The 10,442-nt window shown below is 38.5% G+C and overlaps 1 annotated feature.

Moving 5' to 3' along the window:
- Positions 395 to 896: an enhancer, noted in NCBI's record as "NANOG hESC enhancer chr4:63168339-63168840 (GRCh37/hg19 assembly coordinates)". NCBI's record gives its function as "activates a minimal SCP1, AML or CMV promoter by ChIP-STARR-seq in naive H9 embryonic stem cells {active_cell/tissue: H9 hESC(naive)}" and the evidence as "EXISTENCE:reporter gene assay evidence [ECO:0000049][PMID:30033119]".

Genomic DNA, 10,442 nt, shown 5'->3' with positions numbered 1-10,442 from the left:
AGGTTACAGATCTCTGTTTCTCCAGGATTGCTCCCTGGTGCCTTATTCAGTTCACCTGGTGAGGTCTTAATTTCCTGGATGGTCTTCATGCTTGTGGGTGTTCATCAGTTTCTGGGCACCCACAGAAGAGTTAGGTATTTATTATAGTCTTTTCAGTCTGGGCTTTGTTTGTACCTGTCCTTCTTGTGAAGGCTTTCCAGGAATTTCAAGTGACTTGGGTGTTATGATTTTAACCATATCTGCATTAGGTGACACCCTAAGCCTAGTAATGTTGTGGTTCTTGCACACTGGCCCAGGTACTTCCTTGGTGGTCTTGGATAAGATCTGGAAGACTTCTCCAGATTATCAAGCAGAAATTTGTTTTCTTCCCTTACTTTCTCAAAAACAAACAAAGTCTCTCTCTCTCTCTCTCTCTCTCTCTCTCTCTCTCTCTCTGTCTCTCTATCTCTTGACCTGCCTGGAGCCAGAGGTGGAGTGACACAAGCCCCCCTGTGGCCACCAGCACTGGGACTCTGCTGTGTTAGATCTAAAGCCAGCACAGCACTAGGTCTCACCCAAGGCCTGCTGGAACCACTACTTGTCTACCACCGATGTTCACTCAAGGTCCTAGGGCTCTATAACCAGCAGGTGGTGAAGCCAGCTAAGCTTGTGTTTTTTCCTTCAGGTCAGCAGGTTCCCCCAGGCTCCAGCTGGGTTCAGAGCTGTCAAGGAGCCATGGAGTGAAATCAAATACCTTGGAAATCTACCTGGTGCTCTATCCTTCTGCAGCTCAGTTGGCAATCAAAGTACAAGATAAAGTTCTTCCCATCTACCCTCCCCTTTCCAGCGGCAGACAAATCTCTTCTTATGGCTACCGCCAGCACCACAGGCCCACAGGAGTACTGCCATGCTACTGCTGATGCTCATTTAAGGCCCAAGGGCTCTATAGTCAGCTTGTGGTGAATGCTGCCAGGTTTGGGAATCACCCTTCCTGGCAGTGAGTTCCCCTCTTGCCCAGAGAAGATCCAGAAGTGCTGTGTAAGAAACAAGGCTAGAATCAGGGACCCCAAGAGCCTGCTTGGTACTCTACCCCAGTGTGTCCAAGCTGGTATCTAAGATGCAAGACGAAGATCCCTTTACTTTACCCTCTGCTTTTCTCAAGCTGAAGGAGTCTCTCATTGTAGCCACCACAGGTGGGAGTGTGCTGGGTCTCATTTGAAGCGAGCACATCTCAGACTTACCTATGGCTCATGGTGTACTACGTGGGTACTGCTGCTTGTTCTTCAGGGCCCAAGGGCTCTTTAGTCAACAGGAGATAAATCCTGCCAGGACTAGGTCCGTCAGTTCAAGGCAGTGAGTCCCCTTCTGTCCCAGGGTGTGTCTAGAAATGCTTTCCAGAAGATAGGGCCTGGAATGGGCCCCCCCACCCAGTTCTAACCAGTGCCCTATCCTACTGTGGCTGAGCTGATATCCAGGATGCAAAACAAAGTCCTCTATATTCTTCCCTCTCATCTCCTCAAGCAGAAGGATAGAGGCACTTTTGTTCCTGTGAGCTGTGCTGCCTGGGGTTTGGGGACGGGTGGTGCAAGAACACCCTTAGCCACCACAGCTGGTGTCTCACTAGACCATGTGCCCTGCAAGTCTACTGGCTCCAAGCCTAAAACAGCACTAGGACTTGCTGAAGAATTGCCATCCTTGTGGCCTAGAGTACGTTTCAAGTTGACTTAGAACCCCAGAGCACTTCAGCCCATGAGGCAAGTCTTGCCAGAACTCACGTTCCAACCACTAGGATGGGGAATTCACCTCTGGCTGGGGCCTGTCTAAATGCTTTCTCTGTGAGCAGGCGTCAGCTGAGTTCATCTTGGTTTTGCTTTCCACTGTGACAAGGCAGCACTGAGTTTAATGCAAAGTCTCACAACCACTTGTGCTGTCCCTCCCCAAAGTGCAAATTTTCTCTTTACACCATGTGGCTGCAGTCAGAGGATGAGAGAAGGGGTGGCATCAGAGATTCAAGACTTTCTTTTCTACCCTTTTCAGTCCTATCTTTTTATGCCTTTATAAGTCAAATAAAAAAGATAATTTATGTTTCAAAATACTTAATTGTTTTTTAAAAGTCAAAATATAGGCTATTTTGAGCCCCTCTGATCTGATGTCCCTTTATTCAGCTTGAAGTGCCCTTAAAAATTACATAAAGTTAAAATTTTTCCTCTTTAAAGAAAAAGATGAAAAAATATAAATTGTAAATATTAACAAAAGTTTTCAAGTCAGTTCCACTTACATCATTTACACATTTAAATTTCACATTATTGCAAAAAAATGCAAAGTATACACATTTTTTAATGAAATTTTGTGCAAATATTGTTATATAAATTAATGACAATTATTGAATATAGCTCAGTGTGTAATGCTGCAAATGATGACTAAAGACAGGCCTGCCCATTAAATTTGCCCTAAATGAAGTTATAGAATTATAACTGAATATGATTGCTGCTATCGTTTCCAAAGATATGTTAAAACAGTTTCCTCAATTTGAAAAGCACAATAATAAACAAAAACCCATTTTGTTTACGTTTCATAAAGGTTGGAGCTCTAAATTCGCTCAAATATATAAAAGAAGAAAATAGAAAAAGAAAAATGTTCACAGAGGACTGAACCAAATGTAATGTTTCAATGCTTTTTAATACAGTTTCATAGTGGAGTACATTACTTAATAAAACAATGTTTATTATTTCATAATTGCAATTTGTGAAAATAGTTTACGTTGAGGTGTTCAACATATGAATAAATTCATTATTTAATTTTCAGGGTTCTTGTAGGTTATTTCTTGTTGTATTTTATTATTTGCATAGAAGACTCAGGAAGTTAGATATTTATGCTAATTTCAGTGTCTTAAAAGGAAATATAACAGCATTTTTTATTTAAAATTTTATATCTATTTTGAAGTTTTCTTAAGAAAAAGTGACAAGTATTCAATAAAAAGTGGCATGATCTTTCATTCTTTCTCACCATCACTAAATTTTAATTGAAGCCTAAATGTGCACACAAGTACCTGAAAAAATGATTTTTCTTTGATAATCTATTTTAATGTGTGATGTTTTGAATTTGGCTAATTGTTAAAATCTCAGCTTTTAAATGACTATGACAAATTGGTTTTTTAAAGTGCTCTTTAAATGTCTCTATGAAGGCATATGATGTTGTTTCTTGAGGGGATATTATTTCATATAAAAGAGATTGTTCTAGCAAATAACTTATTACTCAAAAAATCATTAATATGTCAAATATTTGAATTACAGATGCTGTTGGCTGCAGATAATGAAATAACCTATTGACAATTAATTTAATAATGAAATAAATATTTATTGTAAATAACAAGAAGTCTAAAGGTAGATACTTTCAAGGTGGATTCAATGTCTCAATGTCACTAAAATGCCAATGCCTTTCCACTCATTATCCTAAGCAAGCTGGCTGCTTATTTTCAGTTTGTGGCTTCATGGTTTTAAGATTAATGTTGCATCTCTTTCTATCATATCCTTGCACAATAACATTCAAAGGAAAAAGAAAGTTAAGGTTCTGTCATCACAGCACTATCTTTTTAACAAGGAAGATGTCAGATGCTCTCATATACAACAGATTTCTCACTCTCTCTTTCAGACACACACATATATACACACACAAACACACATATACAGTTTTTCTTTCATCTTTTCGGCCAGCGCTATGACCTAGCTTTACTGCAAGAGAGCCTGACAAATGGGAATCTGACATTTTCAGCCTTTATAATGCGAAGTGACCTTTGGCAGGAAGTAAAAGGGGAAAAGTAAATGGTATTAGGCACAGTGTCTGCCACTGCTTCACTACAGTATCAAATTTCAGCACTGAATAAAATTTTTAGGTGAATCAATAAAATAATTTAATGATTATGTGTTAAATCACCAAAATTTAAATTCAGTGATTTTCTTGGGCTTTTTTTAAACTTTTAAAAAATAATTATGGATTCACAAGAACTTGCAGAGAAATGTGCAAGGCGGTCCAGTGCACCCTTCATCCAACCTCCTTCAATGTCAGTACTATCCACAGCTTCAGTACAATGTCAAAACCAGGAAATCAATGTTGGTATAATTCATAGAGTTTATTCAGATGTCACCAGTCATACTTGTACTTAGAATGTGTACATGTGTGCATGTGTGTATGTGTGTATGTGCTATCACATGTGTTGCTCTATACAATGCTATCACATGTGTTGCTTTCTGTAATTACCACCACAATCATGATACATTACTGTACCATTACCAGAGGCTCCCTTATGTAACTTCTTAGTAGCTATACACACACCTTCCCCTAATTCCTAACCACTGGTAACCACTAATCTATTTTTAGCCTCTATAATTATGTTATTTATTATTATAACATATTATTATCACAGATACTAGGTTATTCTATGTGTTTTTAACTTAGTTTGAATTTATGTGAAAGATAAAATTTAACACTGAGGAAATAAGACTAAAATTCTCAAAATTATATGTAAATATAGCAAACCAATTATTCTTAATAACTTTAACATGTTACTTACAGTTTAGGTGTAAAATATATCAACTGTTATATCCCCAAGAAGATTATTTTAAAAGTCTTTTAATCAAACAATGGTAAGTTGATCAGATTTTCTACTGTAAGAAAAAACACCACTTGGACAGAGTCCTCATTATATCTCAAAAAAAGGAAGATAAAGTAAGAATACTCAGTCTAAATCATTGTTTAGAATGGTGAGCATTATGAAGGGAGGGTTTGAATTAGTAAAATCTCATATATTATGTTAGCTGTTTGCACCAGTGAGCATTCTATTTTCCAGATAAGAGAGCTGTTTGTCCAAAGGAGCAAACTGTTTGCCCTGATAAATTGGGTCACAGCAATTTCATGAAGTAAATAGTGGTTATTTTTTGGTTTATACTCCTACCTTCCTGGTGAAGAGTTTCCTGGGACAAAATAAATATGGTATCATGTTATTGCAAGAAGACACAGCTCTCTGTATTTTCTTGTTTGTATGCCTGTGCTGGACAATAAATCAATATAATCTGGGGGTATGATCAATCCAAATCTGGATCACTCTTTGTGGAGTCATGTTCACATAATAAGTTTTTTTCTTGTGATAAATTCAACATTTATAAAGTTTAGTTTCTATTATTTTGGTGAATTATTATTTGGGAGACAGTGGCTTTGTAACAGCATTTAAGATTCTGGAAATCATATATTTCAGTATTGCAACATAGCAAATACTAAGAAAATAGTTTTTAGTTTTCTTCTAGACCAGGAATTAAGAATGCTCAAATTAAACCAAGACAACAGATCCTTTTGCCAATCTAAAAAGTTCATCGGATGAGATATTGGAGTATTAACCAAACCATATTGATATGATTTGGCTGTGCCCCACCCAAGTCTCGTCTTGAATTGTAATCCCCACATGTTGAGGGAGGGACCTGGTGGGAGGTGACTGGATCATGGGAGTGGTAATTTCCATGCTGTTCCCATGATATTAAGTGAGTTCTCACAAAATCCAATGGTTTAAAAGTGTTTTGCAGTTCCCCCCTCACTCTCTCTCTCCTGCCACTATCTGAGATGTGCCTTGCTTTCTTTTCAACTTCTGCCATGATTGTAAGAATCCTGAGGCCTCCCCAGTGATGTGAATCTGTGAGTCAATTAAAACTCTTTTCTTTATAAATTACAGTCTCAGGATTTCTCTATAGCAGTGTGAGAATGGACTAATACAGAAAATTGGTACCAGAAATTTGGGGCACTTCTATAAAGATACCTGAAAATGTGAAAGCAACTTTGACAGGCACAGGTTGGAAGAGTTTGGAGGGCTCAGAAGAAGACAGGAAGTTGTGGGGAGGTTTGGAACTTCCTAGAGTCTTGTTGAATGGTTTTGACCAAAATGCTGATAGTAATATGGACAATGAAGTCCAGGCTGAGGGGGTCTCAAACGGAGATGAGAAACTTATTGGGAACTGGAGTAAAGGTCACTCTTGCTATGCCTTAGAAAAGAGACTGGCAATCTTTTACCTCTGCCCTAGAGATATGTAGCACTTCAAACTTGAGAGAGATGAAATCAAGCAGAAGAAATTTCTAAGCAGCAAAGCATTCAAGAAGTGATCTGTTTTTTCTTGACAGTGTACAGTTATATGCATTCACAAAGAGATAGTCTGAAATTGGAACTTATGTTTAAAGGGAAGCAGAGCATAAATGTTTGGAAAATTTGCAGCCTGATTGTGCAGTAGAAAAAAAACCCTATTTTCTGAAGAGAAATTCAAGCTGGCTGCAGGAATTTGCATAAGTAACAAGGAGCTGAACGTTAATAGCCAGGACAATGAAGAAAATGTCTCCTGGGCAGTTCAGAAATATTTACAGCAGCCCTTCCCATCTCAGGTCCAAAGGCCTAGGAGGGAAAAAATGATTTTGTGGGCCAGGTCAAGGCCCCACTGCTCTGTACAGCCTTAGGACATGGCACCCTGCGTCCCAGCCACTCCAGCTTCAGCCATGTCTAAAAGGGGCCAAGGTATAGCTCCAGTGATGGATTTAGAGAGTGCAAGCCCCAAGCCTTGGCAGTTTCCATGTGGTGTTGGGCCTGCAAGGGCAAAAAAGACAAGAGTTGAGCTTTGGGAGCCTCTGCCTAGATTTCAGAGGATTAGAGAAATAACCTGAATGTCCCGAAATAAGTTTGCTGCAGGAGTGGAGCCCTCATGGAGAACCTCTACTAGGGCAATGCAGAGGGGAAATGTAGGGTGGGAGCCTCCACACAGAGTCCCCACTAGGGCACTGCCTAGTGAAACTGTGAGAAGAGGGTGCATCCTCCAGACCCCAGAATAGTAGATACACTGACAGCTTGCATTGTGCACCTGGAAAAACTTCAGGCACTCAATATCAGCTCATGAAAGCAGCCACAAGGGCTGTACCCTGCAGAGCCACAGGGGTGGAGCTGCCCAAGACCTTGGGAGCCCACGTTGCATCAGCATGCCCTAGATGTGAGACATGGAGTCAAAGGAAATTATTTCAGAGCTTTAAGATTTAATGATGGCCTTGTAGGGTTTCACACTTGTGTGGAGCCTGTAACCCCTTTGTTTTGGCCAATTTATCCCATTTGGAATGGAAGCATTTACCCAATGCCTGTACCCCCATTGTATCTTGTAAGTAACTAACTTGCTTTTGATTTTACAGGCCCATAGGCAGAAAGGACTTGTCTTGTCTCAGATGATACTTTGGATCTGTACTTTTAGGTTAGTGCTGGAATGAATTTAGACTTTGAGGGACTATTGGGAAGGCATGATTGTGTTTTGAAATATGCAAAGGACATGAGATTTGGGAGGAGCCAGGAGTGGAATGATATGGTTCGACTCTGTGTCCCCACCCAAATATCATCTCAAATTGTAATCCCCACAAATTGAGAGAGGGACCTAGTAGGAGGTGACTGGACCATGGGGGAAGTTTCCCCCATGCTGTTCTCATGGGAGTAGTGAGTTCTCATGAAATCTGATGGTTTAAAAGTGTTTGACTGTCCCACCCTTGCTCTTGCACTCTCCTGCTGCCATGTAAGACATGCCTTGCTTCCCCTTCACCTTCTACCATGTGAGTAAGTTTCCTGAGGCCTCCCTCAGCACACAGAACTGTGAGTCAATTAAACCTCTTTTCTGTATAAATTACTCAGTCTCAAGTAGTTCTTTACAGCAGTGTGAGAACAGACTAATACACATATTTATCATATATAAGTATATATATATATATTATAGGCGGAATTATATCTCCCCAAAATTGATGTTTTGAAGCCCTAAACCTTGGTATGCTAGAATGTGACTATATTTGGAGAAAGGTCTCTTAAAGAGGAAATTAAGTTAAAATAAGGTCGTAAAGATAGGCACTAATCCAATGTGATTGGTCTTATAGGAGGAGATTAAAATACATATAAGCACAGAAGAGGAGCAAGTAGAAGATAAAGGAATAAGATGGCCACCTACAAGTCAAGGAGAGAGTCCTCAAAAAAAAAAAAAAAAAAAAACCCTGAGGATACCTTGATCTTGAGCTTCTAGCCTCCAGAAATGTGAGAAAAATTAATTTATGTTGATTAAGTCACCCAGTCTCTGGTACTTCATTATGGCTGCCCTAGCAAAACTAGTACAATACATATTTATATTTTTCTGTAACCTCTAAACCAAGTATTATCTTGTGGTTTATGTTACCATCTGGTCTTAGTCTGTCAATACCTAAGACTGAGTAATTTATAAAGAACAGAAATTTATTTCTCACATTTCTGGAGGCTGGGAGGTCTAAGATCAAGGCACAAGCATCTGGTGTTGGGTGAGGGCCTTCTTGCTCTATCTTCCCATGGTGGAAGGTGGAAGAGCAAAAACAGACAAACTGTGTCCAAATATGGCAGAAGAGCAGAAGTGTGAACACACTCCCAGAAGCCCATTTTTAGCAGCATTAATACATTCATGAGAATGAAGCACTCATGACCTAAACATCTCTCATTAGGCCCCACCTTCCAATACTATTGCATTGGGATTAAGTTTTCAACACATGAATTTTGGAAGGAACATTCTGATTATAGCACTATCTTTATCCAAACTAACCAAATTTTGTTTTCCAAATTAAAAATAAAAAGAACTCAGAAAGCCAAAATAATAATTTTTCATAAGCCCAAATCTACCAGATTAATAACTTTTGAGTTTTATTGACCATTTAAAGAAAATTGCATATATTTTTACTCTACAACCATAGTATAATACATAAAAATAGTGAAAAGGGTAGACATAACAATGATTAGTGACCAATGTTTTGCCTCTTTTTTCCTTAGAAATTGTCCAAGTACCCAAAGATTAAATTATTACCTCAATAAAAGATTAGCTTCAGCCTTTAAAGTTAAATAAAGTTCTAGAAATTAAAATTAAACAAGCAAATTAAGTATATATAGTTGGTTATATTGTAAGAATTCACAGGCTTAAACATTTTAGAAGTTATTCATTGTTATGAGTTCTTTTAGTTAAATACAACTGTATAGTTTTGCAATCTTAAGACAATTTATAGAAACACTAATGACTCAACCCATAGAACTAATGTAAAAATTTTTGAAAGTTTAACATAGATTAAACTCAAAGCATGTACTAACTAAAATACTGCACTAACATTTTTACATAGTGGCAAAATTAGGGAGAAAACAAAAAGTATTCAAAGCTAAAATTAAAATATCTTAATCTTAAGAGTTATCTCTTGTTCTGGAATATCACATGAACTTTAAGAAAATATTATTTATAAACCTTTATATTCTTTTCCAAATTTTAAAGACTCTTCAAATCTTGACAAAATCCCTAACTTTCTAACTTTTGCTAAGAACCAAAGCCATTTCTCAAACTCACATTATACTTTTTAAAATCTGAATTTGTTTCTGCATTTATTTTGTGTGTAACATCTGTGTTTTTCATATACTGTCAGTTCAGTAGTTTAATAAAATATGGTGAATTTAGATTTCTTTGGGAGATATTCCAGGGTATCTCATTTGAAAATTGCCCAAGATGATGCAATTCAGTACATGTACACCAGAATTTTAAATTTTTAAATAATTTTTCTGTTTAAATTTTATGGCATTTAATATTAATAGCTTTGAGGAGATTCAGTGCTTTTTTCTAAGCTTAAACAATGAAGTCAATTATTAGATCATTTAGTAATTTACTAGATATAAGTCATTCCAAGTTTAGTTAACTTAGTGATCCAAAGATGGCATCAGAAGCCAAGCGTCTTCCATGTTTCCAATTAGACCATATTCAGCATATTGGCTTTTTCCTGTTTGTCTCCTTGCGCCACTTTACTGCTGTAATTGTGTGTGTGTGTGTGTGTCTGTGTGTGTGTGTGTGTGTGTGTTGTTTTTAATTCTAAGATCAATTTTTATTTCTTCCAAAAATAAAAGAGGCAGTCAAAACAATTTAAGACATGTTTTAAAGGATATTATTGAGTGAGCTTCAAGGGGAGCTTGACTCTGCAAAGGCTGTGAGTCCAAAGGAAGAAGGATGTCTGTCTTGTTCCTTGGCTGGCTGGCTGCTCCGAGGACAAAGGCGCCAGCAGAGGCCCCGGAGACCCCAGACTGGTGCCCTAAATAGCCGAGTCCTGCCGATTCCAATTCCAATCTCGCACAGGATCAGACTGTGCTGAGGGAGGGCTGTGGTGGGGCCACGCATCCAGAAAGTGGAGATTGAGCCCCGTGGCGCATTCCGATGGAACTCGGTGACAAATGAACTTGAAATTTCAAATGGACATTATGGCTTTAACGTTGCTTGCAAGGACCAGAAGATCTAACTGGCTGCAGGAGTGCCACCCTTTGTCTCTGGAGTCTTTCTGGCGAGAGATTCACCACGTGCAGTGTGCACAGCACCCTCTTGGCTGGCCGACCTGTTATTATAGGGTTTCCCTATGCAGGCCAGGTCCGC

The sequence above is a fragment of the Homo sapiens genome, chromosome 4 (assembly GCF_000001405.40).
Source record: "Homo sapiens chromosome 4, GRCh38.p14 Primary Assembly".
NCBI classification, from domain to species: domain Eukaryota; kingdom Metazoa; phylum Chordata; class Mammalia; order Primates; family Hominidae; genus Homo; species Homo sapiens.
This window is presented reverse-complemented; position numbering and strand designations above follow the sequence as displayed.